The 20,871-nt window shown below is 33.7% G+C and overlaps 1 long non-coding RNA gene across 3 annotated transcripts in view; it reads right to left on the bottom strand.

The window, feature by feature from the left end:
• Positions 1-16,644: 16,644 nt before the first annotated feature.
• The window catches only part of LOC105374557 (uncharacterized), a 485,690-nt gene continuing 481,463 nt past the window's right edge, over positions 16,645-20,871 (bottom strand). For all 3 annotated transcript variants that reach the window (NR_188396.1, NR_188397.1, NR_188399.1), the window contains one exon: positions 16,645-19,797. This is a non-coding gene — a long non-coding RNA (uncharacterized LOC105374557). The remainder of the gene's footprint in view (positions 19,798-20,871) is intronic.

Below are 20,871 nucleotides of genomic sequence, written 5' to 3'. Positions count from 1 at the left end.
TCTTGTGTTAGGTACCTTTTGTCTCAAGCAGTAAAATAAAAATTGAACTTAGATGAAATGCTATGGTCTGAATGTTTGTGTCTCCACAAAATTCTTATGTGGAAACCCTATTCCCAATGTGGTAATATTGAGATTTAGGCCTTTGGGGGATAATTAGGTCATAAGAGGTCCACCCTTGTGAATGAGATTAATGTCCTCCTTAAAGAAGCCCAAGGGAGATTGTTTACCCCTTCTGTCATGTGAGGACACAAAAACATCATCTATGGGGGTCAGGCTCTCACCAGACGATCTGCTGGTCTTGAATTTCCCAGGCTGCAAAACTGTGAGCAATAAATTTCTGTCGTTTATAAATTATCCAGTCCAATGTAGTTTGTTATAGCAGCCAGCACTAAGATAGACTCTAATTAGACATATGTTCCTCTGACTTAGTCTTATAAGGATGCAATGTAATTGTCCCAGAACCTCCACTCCTTATATAATAGTTTAGCAGTGAGATGGAACAGTCAGGAGCTGATTTTGGCTTGAAAGCTGGAGCCAGGTAGAAGCTGGGAGAGAAATTTCTCAAATTTCTTCAGGTTATGCCCAGGCTATTCTTTTCTGGCTTTCTCAAGACAAGAAAGTTGGAAATTCATGTGCTTACCCCTGGACCAGGAGAACTCACTGACATTGGATCAGGCATCAGTCATGTGCCTCCTGAAGTAAAGAATATTTTGTATTATAAGATGATCCTGTTTGGAATCAGCATAGACAAGGGCTTAGCAAACATGCTGATTATTATTATTTTGACAGTATGATTTTTTTGAATTTTAAGTGGTTTGGTTGAAAATATTCAAAATGAAAAATTGCAAGTGGGATTGGAACAGTTTAGATAAACCTGTCTAGAAGACTGTTGGTAACCAATGCAGATGGGCAACGTAAATTTCAAGACAGTCATAAATTGTATTGGTGTCATAGAGAAAGAAGAAGCTAATCTTTGTATGTCCCTAAGTAGCACAAGTTCAAGAAATTTAACATCATATTTTAGATAAGTTTACAGAAAAGTTAACACTATGTATATATTTAAGAATCATTGCCACAAATATTCAATTATGAATATATTTTTTATCTTTCCTCAAATTTTAAGAAAAGTTATGCTTGAACATAAAGTGCTCCTGCTAGGCAAAAATACTATTCAACCTACTCAAATCTAGGCAGGCATTCAGATTTTGTCAGTTATATTAAAAAACTCTGATACTACCTTTTCATTATGCAATCAACTCTCTTCTTCTTTTGCCTTGTCTTTCCACAAAGGAGGACCCATTTTGCTTTTCTTTTGTCTCATTCAAGTCTAGATAGACTGTAATAGCAAGCTCCCTTTTGAGGAAGACCTCGACATTTTTGAGGTATATACGAATAGTTTATTCAAAGAAAACATCATGCATTATTATATTCTTTTTATGATTAATTGAAAAATACATTACAAATTTTATCTCATTATGACTCAAATCTTGGAGAAACTGGATGCCTTTCTGCTATTATTTGAATTTGGCCCCCAAAACTTCAAGTGTGGGAAACAATCTCCAATGTAAGAAGGTTCGGAGGTGGGGCCTAATAACAAATGATTGGGTCATGAGGCTGGAGCCCTCAAGAATAGATTAGTGTTGTTATTTTTGGAGTGGATTAGCTATCACAAGATTGGATTTGTTATAAGAGCAAGTTCACCCTTTCTGGCTTGCACACTCACTTGCCCTTTCTCCACGTTATGACAGAACAAGAAAGCCCTCCTTCACCCAGCACCATGCTCTTGAACTACCTTGCTCCGGGACTCTGAGCTCAATGAATGTCTGTTTATTATAAATTACCCAATCCCAGGATTTCTGTTATAGCAACAGACATTGAGCTAAGACACTGTGTAACATAGAAGATAAAGCTTATCAAATTTATAGTATTTCAACCTCTATAAATCACATGCAAATTCATGGGAGTAAGGAATGACCAAAACATTATGGTGTGTCTTGACAGGACAGGGAAATTTGACATGCTAAATGTGGTCAATCAACATAGTTCTCCATTTGGAAAGAATTTTGCAGTACTTGAATCAATGTAAGATTTGGAGTTTTTCTATGCTAGGACCAAATTCAGCATCTTGTACCTATTATTTATTACTTTCTGAAAACTGAAACTTGCTTACCCTCCCTGAATCTCAAATTGGGGTTAATCTATCATTTATAAAACTTATATGATACAAAATATGAACACACGTATTATAAACTATGAGGCCCCACATAAATGAATAATGTCTTAAGTTGTCTTGATGTTTACCTCTATTGCCTTTCCATTTAGTACTTGAAACATTTAATTATAGCCTAAAGTGTGAAAAATTTGCATATTTTAGTTTAAAATTATTGACAATATGGACAGTACATGTACTTAAACAGTCATTTGGGCGTTCTTATTTACAACGATCTCTGAAATAATGGATGTACCTCCTTCTGCAATTTTTTCTTTGTGAACCAGAATATATGCATATTCCATGGACTTATCAGGTACCTTCTGAAACATATTCATATTTTAATCCTTGTAACAAATTTTTCTCCTAAAATTATTTTTTCCAGACTCTTCTTTTCAATTGGCACTGTAGTCAGAGGTAAAGATTCAGTTTCCAAAATAACTGAGAGATCAAAAAATTTAGATACTTCCACAAATCTAATGAAAGGTATTTTCAGTAAAGTGTCTTTTTAACCAGCGCTTTTGGCATTCATTGGCAGCTAGGGTAATCTAGAAAAGACAAACATCTGTCTGGCTGCTGAGAACTTGGAAGATTTCATTGCCCTCATTTAGCAAAGGAACTCCACAGAGAGCAATGTGATATATCTCAATCATTTCTAAGAAGTACATTTTGACCCAAGATTATATCTGCCACAGAAACAATTTCTCCTCTAATATAACACACCAGGAGGCAAGGTTTTGGTTTCTCTCTTCTGCTGAGACTTATCAACTTTCTGATGTCCATGACTTACAACATACATATCTTGAACGATCAATGTTTCTAACCATCCCAGACTACTGGAGTCAAGATTAACATTATGGCTTTGAAGACAGTATGTTATGGTAATGTTTCCTAGATGAGTATATGTGGAATTTAGTGTGAGAGAAATTGTCTATAGACCTACTGGAGATGACTTATAATAAATTCTATAGACCAGAAAGAAATGAAGGCTCACAATACTGGAAGTTCTCACTAGAGAAAACAGGTAAGAGAAAGAAATAAAAGGCATCCAAACAAGAGGAGAGGAAGTCCAACTATTTCTGTTTGCAGATGATATAATTCTGTGCCTAGAAAACCCCACAGTGTCTGACCCAAAACTCATAGATCTGATAGAAATTTCAGCAAAGTTTCAGGAATCAAAATCAATGTAAAAAAATAAATATCACTTCTATAAACCAACAACATCCTAGCTGAGAGCCAAATCAAGAACACAATCCTATTCACAATAGCCACAAAAATAATAAAATACCTAGTAATACAGCTAACCAGAAAGGTAAAAGATCTTTACTATGAGAATTACAAAACATTGCTCAAATAAATCAGAAATGACACAAACGAATGGAAAAATATTTTATGTGCATGGATAAGAAGACGCAATATTGTTAAAATGGCCATACTTCACAAAGCAATTTATAGATTCAATGCTATTTCTCTCAAACAACAATGTCATTCTTCACAGAATTAGAAAAAGACTATTTTAAAATTCATATGGAATCAAAAAAGAGCCCAAATAGCAAAGGGAATTTTAAGTGAAATAAACAAAACTGGAGGCTTAACATCAGCTGACTTTGACTATACTACAAGGATACAGTAACCAAAACAGCATGGCAGTGGTACACAAAAAGTGGTACACAAAGATCAATAAAACAGAATAGAGAGCCCCCAAATAATGTCACACAACTACATCCATCTGATCTTTGACAAAACTGACAAAAACCAGAAATGGGGAAAGGAATCCTCATTCAAGAAATGGTGCTGGGATAACTGGCTAGACATATGCAGAAGATTCAGACTGGACTCCTTTCTTATACCATACACAAAAAATTAACTCAAAATATAAAACCTAAAACTGTAGAAACCCTGGAAGGTCACCTAGGAAATACCATTCTGGATATAGGCCCTGGCAAAGACTCCATGACAAAAACATTAAAAGTGATTGCAACAAAACAAAAACTGGCAGTTGGGACTTAATTAAACTGAAGAGCTTCCGCACAGCAAAAGAAACTATCAAGTAAACAACCAACTTACAGAATAGGATAAAATATTTGCAAGCTATGCACCCGACAGAGATCTAATATCCAGAATCTATAAAGAACTTAAACAAATTAACAAGCAAAAAAACCAAACAACCTCATTTAAAACTGGGCAAAGAACATGACAATTTTCAAAAGAAGATATAAATGCTGTCAAGCAGCATATGAAAACATACTCAATATTACTAATCATTAGAGGAATGCAAATCAAAACCACAGTGAGAACCATCTCACACTAGTCAAAATGGCTATTACTAAAAATTCAAAAAATAACAAATGCTGGCGAGGTTGCAGAGAAAAGAGAATGCTTATACACTGCTGGTGGGAATGTAAGTTAGTTCAGGCATTGTGGAAAGTGGTGTGGTGATTTCTCAAAGAACTTAAAACAGAATTACCATTAGACCCAGTCATCCCATTATTGGGTATATACCCAAAGGAATATAAATCATTCTACCACAAAGACACATGCTCACATATTTATCACAGCACTATTCACAATAGCAAAGACCTGGAATAAACCTAAATGCCCATCAAAGGTGGATTGGTTAAAGAAAATGTGGTATATATACACCATGGAATACTATGCAGTCATAAAAAAAGGCATGAGATCATGTTCTTTGCAGCAACATGGCTAAAACTTCAGGCGATTGCCCTGAGTGAACTAATATAGGAACAGATAACCAAATACCACACATTCTCACTTATAAATGGGAACTAAACATTGAGCTCACATGGACACAAAGAAGGGAACAGCAGACACTGGGCCAGCTTGAGGGTGGAGGGTGGGTGGAGGGAAAGGATTGAGAAACTACCTATTGGGTCCTATACTCGTTACCTGGGTGATGAAATAATCTGTACATCAAATCCCTGTGACACACAATTTAGCTGTATTTCAAAACTATACATGTATCCCTGAACCTAAAAGTTTTTTTAAAAGGCAGATAGTAACAATTGTTGGTGACAATCTAGAGAAACTGGAACCCTCATACAGTGCTGGTAGGAATGTAAAATTGTGCAGCTTCTTTGGAAAATAAAAAAGCTGAACTCAGTAACTTTCCTAATTAGTTTTCCTATAATTCTCCTCACTTTACTATATGGCAATTACATGCCACCAGTTGCTTCAAACAAAAAACCTCAGAATCACCCTTAAATAATCTATTTTAAACCTCATTATCCACATACAATCTTTAAAGTTATAAACGTATCCAGAATCCAACATCTGTGTACTAAAGAAAGACATTTTCTCTGGTTTATAAGACCATTGGTATTTTGGCATCATTGTTACCTGTCTCAACTACTCCGCATTAATCTTCCCCTAACTCACTTAATTTCAGCTGTTGACTTTATTGCCATTGCTGAACATGCTAAATGCCCCATACCTCAGAATTTTTTTTCCTGAAAAATCTTCCCCAGATATCTGCAGAACTGGCACTTTTTTTTCTTCTGTGTATTTGCTAAAATGACATCTCATCAGAAAAAAATTGTATGACTACACTATATAAAATACCATTCCTCCTAATATTGGCCTCTTTCCCTTTACCCTGTTATTCTTCTACATGAAACTTATAACAGACTGACATATTCCATACCTAAGTATGTATGTATTTATTACCTCTTTTCTCACACTAGAATGTAATCTCCTCTAAATTGGAGACTGTTTTACAAAATGTTTAGTGCTGTATTGGCATCCAACCAGTACTCAATTATTTTTTGAATGAATGAATATTTGTGGCACTCAAAAAAGCAGTAAATGACAGACTTTATTATAATTGTTTTCAAACTAAAGCAAATCATGAGTTTCTATTTTAAGGATATATTAAGTATAATTTTATTTAATTTTTTAAAATAGAACTGATTTTCACACTATAATTTTAATCAAACATTGTCCTTCATACTAAGTACTAATTTATATGTTTAGCATTCTCTATGGTAAAGCTGACTTAACACATAGATGATAACTCACTGTGGGGAGTCTGTAGGGCACTAGACTTCTCAAAGCTAATAATAATCTCACTAAATGTTTTTATCTGATATTAAATTTATAGGCATCATTTCACAAGAGGGCAAATTAATAACAACCGGTTTCTTCTATGACATTTACGTGTGTTTGTCAGACATGAAAACTCGGTGGAATTTTTATGATAGCTTATCAAAAATATGTAATGTAAACCATCTTTCAAAATAGTGTTACCTAAGATAAGACAATCATTGCATTCGTATTGTTTTCCTCAAAATTCAAATGGAACTGTTTGACCTCAGACATATGTATGCTAAAACTCCCTCTTTTCTTAAAGTTTCCTGAAGAGATTGCTGGTAAAATTTTGTAATTTGATTATCATGAAGATTATACAGTACAGGCAAGTCAGTAACTCCAATAACATCACGAGACAACGTATTAATCTCTTTTGCAAACTATATTGTGTACTCTAAGTTGAAGGTCATGCAAACTTATATTCCTTTTGTTGTCTCTTTTTATCTCATTCTCTTTTCTAATGATTCCATCTTTAATTCATATTTTGTACATTGGTCAGAGTTCCAATTCAAATACAAACAACAAAAGAGAAGAATGTACATTCTTGGAATAGTGCATATCTGTAGATGGTTCTCTGATCTTTTTCAGTAACAAGTCAGTGAGAATGTGTCCATAGATCCCCAATGAAAGTAATTTTACATGAAATGGAAATAACACCATGAATCTACTATGGCAGGTAAACTATATCTGGAAATATGACAAAATACCACTCATTCTAGCTTAGATATACATTTATTTTCAAACACCATTTCACCAAAATGAATTTTAAGATATAATTTAGGCATAATACTCTAGAATTTTAGAATTCAAAGTTACAAGATATATAAATGGTTCATTTAAATCAGTAATTTTATAAAATAAAAATGTTCTATGTTCTTACAGTTGTTTATACACATTACTAATGGTAGAATAGTTTTCTTGACAACGTGATCACTTTGGTATTATGAGCATTTCAACAGTATTAATTATTCCTGTACATGAACATATGATTTTTTTATTTATTTCAGTCTTTTTCATTTTTTTCCATATATTTCTTGTTTTCAGTGTACAGATCTTTTTGCTTCCATTTATTCTTAAGCATTTTATTATTTTTAATGCTATTGTAAGAGATTGTTTTCTTAATTTCTCTTTTGAATAGTTTGTTACAGTATGGAAATGCAACTAATTTTTTTAATGTAGACTTTGTATTATGCAATTTTAATTAATTTTTTTATTACCTTTGAGAGTTTTTTCCAATAGTCTTTATGGTTCTCTATAAATAAGATCATGTCACCTGCAAACAGAGTCAATTTTACTTCTTATCTGATTCAGAAGACTTTTATTTCTTCTTCTTGCCTAGTTAGACTGGGTAGGACTTCCAGTACTCTATTGAACAGAAGTAGAAAGTGTGAGCATCTTAATCTTGTTTCTCATCATAGACGAAAAGCTTTCAGATTTCTAACATTGAATATGACATTGGTTACAGGCTTATTATATGTAGTATATGGCACTTACTATGTTGAGGTACATTGTTTATGTACATAATTTGTTGAAATTTTTTGTTATGAAAAGACATTAAATGTTACCAAATACTTTTTCTGCGTTAAGATTATCATTTGTTTTTTATTTTTCATTCTGTTAACATGGTGTATCACATTTTTTGATTTGCACATGTTGAACATCCTTGCATCCAAGGGATAAATTTCACTTGTTCATGATGCATAATCCTTTTAAAGTGAAGCCGAATTTGATTTTTTTTTTGAGTTTTTGCATTTACATTAATCAGGCCTATTGGTCTATAATTTTATTTTCTTGTAGTATCCTTACCTAGTTATGGCAAGAGGGTACTGCTGGCCTTGTAAAAGGAGTTTGGAAGATTTTTTTCCCCCAGAGTATGTATGCCCTTGCTTGTGCTCCAATAACTATATAGACACACACATACACACACACACATACAATAAACAAAACAAAACATAATAGTTGCCCACACACCCCTCAGAAAATTTTGCCTAGCCTGTGATCTACATCTTTCTCAGTATCAGTTGTAGGATATTCTGAGTCATTTCCTAACATGCCTATTCTTTGGGATGTGTTCTTTTAGACTTTTCATCATTGAAATGCTTTTGAAATCATATGGAATCTCCAAGTAAGGTACCTGAGAACAGCCCAGTTAGGACTATTCTAGATGTATTTTCAGATCAAACTTCTTAAGCATTCTTTACACAGGCCATTTCCCGGAGAGTTGGAAAGAGTAAACAAAACTTTTTGTGTTCCCCAAGGAAGTAAAAATAATCTAGTGGCTTAGTTTGACCTTCAAGGTTCTCCTCAACTGAGTACTATTCTAGATTTCCAATATTATCTACCCTTAGCACACATTTTATGTTCTATCATGTTATTTCACAAATGGACATCACATGAAGCCAATGATTATATGTGATTAATTATTATTATGAAAATAAGCTGCCATTCATATAAAAATAATTACCTCTTCTTTGTAGAGTCCTCCTTGGTGGTCTTACAATATTCTGCATATATGTTAATTTATGTTAATGACATTTGAATGCCATTTTTAGCTTTTATAGAAAAGGAATTGTTTTGTTCACTTTAAAATTCTAATTCCTATGTGTAATTTTGCCAGGTCTTATATAAAGTAGTATTCAATGATGCTACATCAGTGGATGCTACCTATAGGACCTGGTATAATAATTAAAATATAATAACTAATTTTTTGCTTTATGATTGTAAATACCTGTTCTATATGTGGATAATTTTTCATTTGAGAAAGATGAACATACTTTGGGTGAGAAAACTTGCCACTTGAATAAGGTTCATGGCAACATAATAGTCTCAAAGTAATTTTAGTGAAAGCAATAACATTTGCAACTACAAACAGGCTCAGCCGTAATCTTCAATATTCTTGCATTTAATTTCAGTAGTTCTTCTACATTCAACACTGTTGTCTCCGAACCTATATCCTCTATAAGTAATAATTTAAAAAACTTTGAGGGACTTAAATTATTCTTTCTACAATGAAAAATATATTTTGTGATGCAAATATGTGGAAATTATTTTAGAGTTTTAAGTTCACAATTACCTTTGGAGACTTCTGCTGTCTCAGTCCCCACTGCAACACCCAGAGAAAATGTCTCTTCATCATTTTGACAATAGGAATGATTTTGGTAAATACTATTTGAATGTATTTCACAGGTCAGCAGTCTCATTCTAATATAGATCTACATTTTAGATTAGATCATAATTTGTTTTCTGCTTTACCTTCACCCTGACATGCTATTTCATATAATTAAACAGTAAATCAATAGAATCCTTGTGGGTGGGATTCTGCAAAGAAAACAACCTGTGTTCTGCTTAATTATAAACTCATTAAAATAAGAACGACATTTCCAAAGCACTGATTTGTTCTTACAAATCAAATTCCACTGAAACCTAGGTGTGGGACTTACTGTCCTGAAAACAGTCTTGGTTTGTGATGACAAACAAAGTCATCACTAATCTTACTGCACTTAAAGAGGCTACTGATTTTGTCCTCCAAATGAATAGGTACAACAGGTCACAGATAAGTAATCTGTCAAATGATAAGTGGAATTACCAAGTAGTCCAGAACTCTATAAAAAGAAAAAAATATGGAACGTTTTCAGAGCAAAGTTATTTCCTGACATATGATTTCTGAGTGGCACATGCTTATAATTCCAACAGGGGAACACTAGGCTATGTTTTATTTTAAAAATACGAGTGCATGTCGGAGGGTCCTATTCACATACAAGTAGATAATTCATAATTTAACTATGTATATGCAACATACTTTAATTTGCTTCTATTTGCTTTCCTCTGGCTTCTCTTTAATTGGTTAGCATTTTATTTTTTGGAGAGGAGAACAATGATACAGTGAGGCTGGGTGACTGGACAAAGATCAAATAGGTAGTATATTGCATAATAATGAAATTTAAGCACTGCCCTTCAAAATTTTATTTGATTTTAATTGACTAATAATAATTCTATATATTTATGGGGCAAAATGTGATGTATTGATATATGTATACACTGTGGAATGATGAAATGTAGCTAATTAACATATTATCACCTCATATATTTATCATTCATTTTTGGTGAGAACATTTAAAACCTATTAACAATTTTCAAATATGCAATACATTATTATTAACTATAGGCACTACGCTGTGCGGTAGATCACTAGAACTCATTTCTCCTGTCTAAAGGAAACCTTGTATCCTTTGATTAACATCTCCCCTTTCCTTGCTCATGTCTCCCACCCCCTGCCTCTAGTAACCACCATTCTGCTCTCTGCTTCTGTGATTTCTACTTTTTTTAGATTCCCCATTATAAGTGAGCTCATACAATACTTGTCTTTCTGTTCCTGGTTTATTTCATTTAGTGTAATGTTATCTAGATCTATCTATGATGCTGCAAATGACAATAATTTCTTTGTTAAGGCTAAATAGCATTTCTTTGTGCTATAAACCACATTTGCATTATCCAGTCATCTGTTGATATGTTGATAATCAACTTAGGTTGACTCCATATCTTGGCTATTGTGAATAGTGCTGCAATAAACATGGAAGTGTAGTTGTCATGTCAATATACTGATTTCTAATTCTTTGAATATCGAAGTTCACTGGGATTGCTGAATCATATTTAAAACTGCTGTTGTTGTTTCTGGAAAAAAGATCATCCAGTGTCTCCAGGCATTTGGACACGTGGGGCATCTTTTCACAGAACATATTCCTTGTCATGCTTGTGACTTTCCTGGTTCCATCATAACAAGAGACTTTTCCAAGGGCTTACTCTCCTGGAACCCTCATTGGGATTTCAATGGTCAATCCGTACTAGTAACTTTGCTTACTATTGTGCATTTTCATTTACAGGAAATGTATTCTAAATGTAAGCTAAACTATAGCATGTTTAAAAGTAATATCTCCATATCAATAAACATTATGAAAATGCAAAAACAAAACAAAACTAAAAGTAGATCCATAAATCCTATTATTCTTCCTCTTAATGCATTTTTGTTAACTGATCTCTTCCATACTTTGGGCACTGAAGACTTCAAAAAGGATTCCAATATATTGCTATTTTTTTATGACAAGATGACGCTGGGTTTTAGTACTTGGCAGATAGTGAAAATACGTGGAATTTTACTATTTTGGTAATGATCTTTTGAGTTGATTTACTTGAGAAATAATGAAATATTGCTAACTTCTCGGCTGCCCTACCACACTAAAAAGTCAATGTATTAAAAAGAGCAATGGATTAAACAATAGGCCTTAAATTCACATTTCACATCATCATCAATGTATGACAGTCTTTCTATGGCACTTGGGTGAAAACCTGTCTTATAAGTTATTATTCTCCCACACAACTAGTCTTCCACTCACTAAGTTTGTCTTATCCTGAGGAAATAATAAAAAGAAGCATCCCCAAATAAGTAGAAAGTGTTCTTGGCTCACAAATACAATCGGATGAAATACTTATGATTCAGTAAATAAGGGTCAGAGACTTCAATTGAAATTGAAATTGCATTGTAATTCTCCCCAAATGAATAGGTATAGTAGGTCACAGATTACTTAACTGAAAATTAAAGAAAATTGGAAGAAATGATCTCTGTAGAATTATATCGTTAAAAAGCTTAACCACTCAAGCCTGCAAAAAAAAAAAAAATGCATTTGAAATACACCTCTCCCAAGGGTCAATATTCTAAATAAAGAAATGTATATTTGCTCCTCACTATAGGTCTTGGTAGCCAATAAACTGTCAGCTGAAGGGGAGCATATTTAAGAAAGCATACTTCTTGATGCCTTCTTTATATTAGAAGTAGAGACAGGTCATTGGTGTGGAAAATTATTACTTCTGAGTTGTTATGTCATCCAAAATGTTTTTTGTATAAGTTATATTCCACATATTTGTGGTTGTTAGAAAACACTGATCAGAAATACATCGCTGTAATACATATATAAATATATATCAAATATGTGTAACTATATATAATCATAAGATATTTCGAATGTATATAAAAATATTTTTATAATTATAAGGGATCTACAAAAAGGAATAAAGCAGCTGCAGATAACTAAAAGGGACTTCTGATGAAAGCCTAGTACACTTAGTTGTATGCATGTACATAGCACATTTTGGTACATAAGTTTAGGCATGTACGATAACTTTTATGATTCTCTCACCCTTTGAATTTAGTTATCACATATTCTATTATAGTTGCACAATATAGGGCTGTTTAATTAAGAAAGATTTTACTGGCCTGGCGCAGTGGCTCACACCTGTAATACTAGCACTTTGGGAGGACGAGGTGGGCGGATCACGAGGTCAGGAGATGGAGACCAGCCTGGCTAACAGAGTGAAATCCCGTCTCTACTAAAAATACAAAAAATTAGCTGGGCATGGTGGCACGCACCTGCAGACCCAGCTACTCGGGAGGCTGAGGCAGGAGAATCGCTTGAACCTGAGAGGCGGAGGTTGCAGTGAGCTGAGATCGCGCCACTGCCCTCCAGCCTGGGCGACATAGTGAGACTCCATCTCAAAAAAAGAAAAAAAAAAGGTTTTATTATTTCTATATAGCTATAATATAATTGTTAGCTCAGAAAACTGTAGCTTTCAAAACGATGGTCTAAAGAGTCATCTAAATGATATATCACTCTGTATATGAAATATTGTGTTATGGAAGGTAATACCATGTTTGTACATAATGAAGTTAAACCAAGGGGCACCCTGAGAGAAGCCCATGGAAGAAAAAATTGGGTAATTCATGATTCACTTATGAATTGAGCAGAGTTTCCTCTCAAGAGGCAATAAACAATGTCAAAACTGTGTTTTCATTTAAGGCGCAGAGATACACTTCGAAGATTCATGTGGAGTTTTGATGTTTAAGTAGAATAAGCAGTTCCATACATCACTTAGTATCCTCCATTCTGGATTAAATTTCCTGAGAGTCTTCGGGCTATAATATTTGCTTCATTGCTAGTGAGTTCAAAGTATTTTATGTGTAAACATTTTGCTAAACACTCTTTATCATAATTCATCTTTGAACTCTGAACTATTTAGTCAATATGTTTAAAAAGAAGATAAATTTTGTCAATATTGATTAAAAATAATCTTGTATCTTACTTTTCTAAATGTACAAATAGCGTGAATTTATATTTGTAAAATGCCTAGTACAATTCCTAGCACATAACTTAGAATAGTTTAAAAAGTTTAGGAGATATATGTGTGTGTGTAGGGGAGTACATAGAGTTAATATAGGGAGAAAATATTTTGGGTTGAAAGAACTTGCATAATGGTTAGTTATAAATATATTCCCAGGACTTTTATTTAGCCAGATGAGACATAAGGAAGATTTATTGAATAATACGTTAATTTTATTCCTTCTGTCTACTTTAATCATCTTCTATAAGGGGACCCTAATTTGCCTAACCTGTAGCAAGTGCTTCTCCAGGCTGATATACTAATCATTCTTAGTAACATGAAGGTCTTAGTGGCATTTGTGAACCCCCTTGAATCTGGTCTTCAAAATTTCTCAGAATCATGAAGAGGACATGGTATATGTATGAGGGAGGGGTAGTTGCAATGATACAATTCAAGGATGAACCATTGGGACACAAGTTTTTCAGAATCTTTTCTGTCCAAAAAATGCTTACTTCTATTTTGGGATCATGTATCATCCTCATTCTGTTTTTTTTTTTTTTTTTTTTTTTTTTTTTTTAGTTTCTTATGTATGTCATGTTAGGCTATAACTCATTCTCAACCTGTCCTCCAGGTAAATGATGTTTGCGTTTATTTCTGTTTGGAGAATATATATGTAGCGGCTTACAAGTTTATTTCCAGCAAAACATACTTCACAGCTCATACTTCTCAACTCAATGAGGATTCCCCTGATTAAGCAATTTGCCATTTTATAAACAAATCTTTAAAAAAAACTTTTTAAAATTATTCTTTAAGTTTTGGGATACATGTGCAGAACATCCAGGTTTGTTACAGTGTATGCCTATACACGTGCCATGGTGGTTTGCTGCACCCATCAACTCATCATCTACATTAGGTATTTCTCCTAATGCTATCCCTCCCCTGGTCCTCCAACCCCGACAGGCCCTGGTGTGTGATGTTCCCCTCCCTGTGTCCATGTGTTCTCATTGGTTATAAACAAATCTTAACATTAATAATGTTCTTGCCAAAATTACCAGTGACAAAATTTCAAGACATTCTACATGAATCAGCTTCTTTTTTCTGTTGTAACTGCCAGGCTTCCTTAAATCACAGTATGTGTGATTTCTTCTAAAAGCTTCAATACTGCTTAATGAAACCACAAATGATTAACTATAGGGACATTCTTATATAAGGTTAACACTATGCATACTGATTAAGATAGAGAAATTCAGATAGCTGTTGTTTTAGTCATTTTTCTACCCTGAGTCCATCAGAATACTCTAGCAGAGTACCATATATTTAATAGATATTGAATAAGAATATAGATTCTTATCACATGCAAAAAGACTTCACAATAATTATGTCAGCATGAATAACAGAAATATGAACCATTAATACATGAGATTTATAAGCTAAATGTCAGATATTTTGTTTTGTTTTTTTAAGAGACAGTATCCTCCTATATTGCCCAGGCTGTAGTACAGTAGCTATTCACAGGTGCAATCATAGCTTACAGCAGCCTTAAATTCCTGGGCTAAAGTGATCCTCCTGCCTCAATCTCCCAAGTAGCTGGGACTACAGATGTGCCACCAGATATGTTTTGAGCTCTTTTCTCCCTTCTTGGAGTGAACATGATGTAATACTTTAAAAATATAGATTATTATTAAAAATACTATATACTGAGGACAGAGCTATATTTTCTCTAGCCATTTCTTTGGTGTCCTTTCAATCAGAGATCCAATTATCATCATTTGGGGAAAGATTCTGACTATTAATTTAATATAATACTTTTTTTTGCAGCCTGCAGTGACACATGGAGAAAATGTAACTATAGCCTTATTTAGTGTTAAATTATCTACTTCATGTAATAAGTAAATGTTGAAAATGAGGAAAGAATGTTCTATGCAATTTCTCTCAAATGACACAAATTGGATGTCCAGTAATTGGTCCCAAGTCCTGATTTCTGGTCAATTACTTAAATTTCAGACCACATTGTATCCATTAAGTGTAGCCACTCTTTATTGAAATTTTGTTCATTTAATATGGAGCTTCCTATTTATATAATGCCTATCTCCAAGGAATTTAATGCAAATTTAAAGATTATCTCAGTAATCCTTATGACTGGAGATTATATGATTATGCCTTTATAGTGATGGAAACTGAGGCAGAAATAATTTTAGTGGCTTTCATAAAGTCCTACCATATGCTATCTGTGACAGTCTTCCATGTAGAAGGAATTGTCACCTCATACACATTTAGCACTCATAGGTCACCATATTAAAAAGTTTCCATGGAGACTCCCCCAAACTGTTAAATTTTGCAGCTCATTAGTGAGGAAAGATGCTTCAATTTTTTGCTACTGCATGTACATCTGACAGAAAAAAAATCTTTTCTGCAACCACTAAAGCAGGAGTGAAGAGAAAATAGAGAGTGCTCAAGATCCTCACTAGCACAAGCAGGGCAATTTTTCTTTCCTCATTATTAATACATCGCATTACCTTGTGAAGCAAGTGTCCCAACATAGGTCTAGTTGCTTAATGTCTCAGACAATAACCTATCATACAAGCAAGGAGGCTTAGAATCCAGATCTAGTAGTAAGGCTTCTTAGAATCCTATTAATGGGGTTCCAATTTGCAATATATTCAATGTATTCAATAACATAAAGGCTTCAATATTCAATAGGAAGGGGCAGAGTTGACAGTCACAGCCTCTTAAAACCATGTGTGTCTCTGAGTTCTTTTTTTCCTACGTACGGAATAAAAATAAGAAACACAGAGTGCCAGATCTCAATGAGTTTCAATAATCATTTTGAAAGGAGAAAGTCAGGCATCTATAGTGAAATTTGTTCCTGTAAAGACAACTTATTTTTTAAAGAAAGAGAGAGAGAGTGACATGAGGCACTAAAGAAAATGTTACTATCAGAGCATCTTTAAGAATCATATCAAATTTGAAATAACTATATAGTAAGAATTACAATGATTGCTAAATTATAGTAAAGAAGTGGATATGGGAAAATAGAACATAAATTCCATTTGCTGTTCTGTAATAGAGTATGGTTACCAAATACCCGCTTTATGATGCCAAATTATCATTTTGAAAAAGCCATTGCTGAGGACTCCTTTAGTGCCTAATGTTTTTTGTTTTTTTTTTCATCTCTTTTTTGTTAATGGTCTAAATTTTAACTAAGTCACTAATGCAATAATAGAATGACATTCTTAATTATTAATTTTTAGAAAATAACAAATACTAGCATATTCTATATACTGAATGCCCCTAAAGTTGTTAGGTATTCTGAATATGTTTAATAGCTAGATAGATAAATAGATGTAATGCTATGGTTAGCATGATTCAGTAGAATAATGTGAATAAAACAAAAGTGTCCTTGCAACATGCATTTCTCACACTCTTTACAGGAGATAATAAAAACCACTAACAATCTATTCAGGAGAAAGTAAAGTAAGTATTGCGGTATTCGCAAACAGAGATATAACAGGCTGATTTTGGCTCCCTGTGATGGAATGTGAATGTCTTTAAGAGGTGTAAAATAATACAAGCAGAAATGATAGATTGAGAATTTCTGCTTGGAGCAATGCATGGAACATATTATCCAAATCACCCTCTGTGAAAGTATATGTGGTTCGCTGTGTAAAAGCAAAAGGAGAAAATCAATATATAGTTAGAGAATATAGTGTTAATAGTTCAGTTGTTTCTTTTTTTCAGGCTTACTTTTTCAAATATGTTTTTACATGATAAATTGTACTTAAGTCTATATTAATGTTCTTGAGATTTTAACATTGTGCTTTTTCTCAAGTACAAAATTAGTGTAATGCAATATATCATGGTTTCCTAGGTAATTCCTGACTCAGATATAGTGGGAGCACTTAGTAAATTTCAAATTTCAGGCTGCAATTCCAGGACTGCTGAGTAGAATTTTCAAAGGTAATCACACTATATTGCTCAGGAAATTCTGATGCCTACCAAATATACGTTTCCTTTTGCTACTTTGACAAACTGCCACAAATGTAGTAGCTTAAACAACACAAATTTATCTCCTACAGATCTGGAAGTTAGAGTCTGAAAATACGTTTCACTGAGCTAATGTCAAGGCATCAGTAGGGCTGTTTCTATCTGGAAGTTCTAGGGAGAATTCATTTCCTCATCTTCTGCAGCTTCGAAAGGCTGCCTTGCCTGATTTCCTCAGATTTTAACCCCTTCCTCTGTCTTTGAATCTAGTAAGGTAGCATCTTCAAATCTCTCACTACTTCTGCTTTCGTAGCCACTTTATGTGTGTCTGTGTGTTTCATTCTGAACTTTTGCCTTCCTCTTTTAAGGAACATTGTTCATTGTAATTTCATTGAGTTCACTTAGAATAATATTTCTGTCTTAAGATCATTAACTTAATTACATCTGCAAAGTCTCTTTGTTACATAAGGTAACATATTCCAGGTTTGGGAGGTTAGGACTAGGCCATCCTTAAGGGACCATTGTTCTGTTTGCCACACCAAATTTGGGTAGAACTTGATGATCCTACTAAGCAATTAGATTCTACAATCCTATATATCTACCAACATTTTTGTTGCTGCATTTAACTATTTATTTATTTATTCATTCATCATTAAATAAGTACTTGTTTCACAGCTACTGGGTGTAAAGCACAGAGCCAATCCATGGAGACATGAAAATAATTTAAAAGTAAAATCCCTACCCTTATGCAATTCTATCTTTCAATATAATTCCTAAGCCAAATTGAGATATGTGGGTATTACCTAATTATGTGCAAAATATGATCTATTTACAAATAAAAAAGACATACTTATGTAGTAGACAGAGAATGTGATATGTTGTTTCCATTGAAATTTCCATGATTATTCTAGAAATAGATTGTAAAATAGCATAAAAAGAGACATCCATGGGAATACATCATAGAATTGGTAAGTTAAAAAAAAAAAGAAAAAAGAAAGTCTGCAAGACTACAGCCTAGGGAGATATACTGAGCAATTGACATACTGTTAGGGTGTCAATAAAATCAAACGTTGCCAGTTAGAAGAATAATGAGCTCTTTTCTCTCTGTACCCAAAGGAGATTAATTCAAGAATATATATTTTCTGCATGTTGCTCACCTCTCCCGATAAAATGAAAGTGCTAAAAATGGTCATCTGGGGGTGGTTTTGACTTTACTTTTTATTCTCTCTACTAAGAAGAAACAAGTTACATAACTCCTATTACACACAGAATTCCATGACAGACATTTTGTTATTTGGATTCCTGGCCAAGTGATTTAATGAATGTTCAGTTAAAGAATATGTGTTTTAAAATTACCATATCAGAACTGACAGAAGAGTTCCTCTACTGTTAAAAATGTCCCAAGTTAGGCAAAAATCTGTTAATGCCACACACACACAAAATTGAAATTAGCAAGTCACTGAAAGAAAACAGGAACTCCCACTCTCCATAGTCAGGCTTTTCTGAAATTCAGACCCAGAAACCCTTATCTTGCCTTGGGCTCACTCTATCTGCTTCTCTAAATTTCTGTTTTCCCTGATGCTTCCATGCATGTTTACCATAGCTACTGTCGACTCTTCTTCTCCTGGGATAGCAGCAGAGATGCTTCAGGTACAATTTTAGCCCTGTACTACACGAGCAATTCTTTTCACTTCTGCCGTTTCATCTTCAGGTACCTTGTGCTTTGAAGGTGCTCCCTAGGTATTTAGATATACTTTTGAGTTTGCTTCATGCTTTGAACTTTCCTGAGCTCTTCTGTTTCTTCAAATTCATCTGTCCTGTTTCCCACTTTCTTTACATTTGAAAGAAGAAAGTCAGGGGAAGTGATTTGAGTTTTATGTTAATATGTGCTCCTGGTTTCATATGATTATGCTCTCAGAAAACATGTTTTTATTTTAACAGGAGCCATCAATACCAAAGGCCTGTGCTCCTCAAACTATGTAACTCAAACATCTGTTGAATAGTATATTCAGTAAATCAAAAGCTAAACATCATGCATTTTGTCTGAAGCATGCATTTTAATTCATTCTAAATAAAGCATTGCTTTTGTATTATTGAATATAATATACAATTTATATTAGATGCTTTTAAGCCAAGTCTCCCACTTCAAGTAAATTTTCTCCTTGTGATATGTTATTTTAGGTTCATAAAGCTCTAAATCTTCTTTGTACAGAACCCCACAGAAAACATATTTAACTCATTTGCTATTCTGGATATTTCAGTATAAAAGTATGAGAATAACTGCGTTAAAAGACGGGAACTTAGCTTTGTTGAAAGATCCTCATGATCCATCTGAATCACCAGCGAGGTTCAGCCTGAAATGGAGAAAGCAGAGGTAATTTTTGAATTCCATGTTGATACTGCAAGTTTAGTAACAAATTCTTTAAGGAGAGTAGGAGAAACGGTTGAGAGGTAGAGGTATCAGAGTAAAAGATGAGTACATAAAAATTGGGTAATAATAGGAGGATTTTTTTGTTACATTCTAGCTAACATCTATCACACTGTGGCAACCACAAGCGTCATGAGAAGTTTTATAGACCAGTATCCAGAGAGAGAGAATCAGAGTATAAGATGGACATGGCAATTGTTTAGACCCACACTCTTGTTCTATAAAAATGTGAGAAGGTTAAGAAGCTTTTCCTTGAATCTTATAGAGATTCACTGGAGGAACTGAATGTGCTAAGGGAATTAGTAAAAAAAAAAAAAAAAAAAAAAAAAAAAAATTCTAGTTTAATTCAAAAAAACACAACTTGAGTTAGTTTAAGGTATAAAAAGAAATTTATTGGGTCATGTAACAAAATCATGAAATTAGGACAGCTTAAACTGCATCATTTAGGGTTGGCTAAGAACAGATGACTTTATTTAGGGATGTCTCTTCTCTCTATTTCATGCATCAATGTCATGTTCTGTTTTACTGTGAGGAATTTCTCTGAACATTGAAACTATGGCAGTAAGTATCTTTTTCTTTTATCTTAACAGCATCTCATCTAAAAACAGCATCTCCAATTTCTTCCTGTTTCAGAAATTAAAATCATAAGGAAAAAATCTTATTGTCTTGGCTCAGGTCACTTGACACTTGAACCAAGGAAAGGTGAGTTTGTAATCCCTAGTCTGTGTGACTTTTTTGCTCTTGTAACCAAGACAGAAACAGTTTTAAAGGAAGATGAAGATTAGCAAGTGCCCTTCCCCTAGACGCTGGGGCTCTAATAATAAACAAAAAAGACATGGGTTTCTGAAGTGCATGTGCTTACAGTCTAGCAGAAGTGTTTTATACCCAACAAACTTCAATTTAGTCAACCTGGAATATCCATTATAGATATCAGTTTTAAAAGGGCTGTCAAATAAGCAACGGTCAAAAGGATAAGCTGTTTCTTCAGTTGTCACCCTTT

The sequence above is a fragment of the Homo sapiens genome, chromosome 4, assembly GCF_000001405.40.
Source record: "Homo sapiens chromosome 4, GRCh38.p14 Primary Assembly".
Classification (NCBI taxonomy): domain Eukaryota; kingdom Metazoa; phylum Chordata; class Mammalia; order Primates; family Hominidae; genus Homo; species Homo sapiens.
This window is presented reverse-complemented; position numbering and strand designations above follow the sequence as displayed.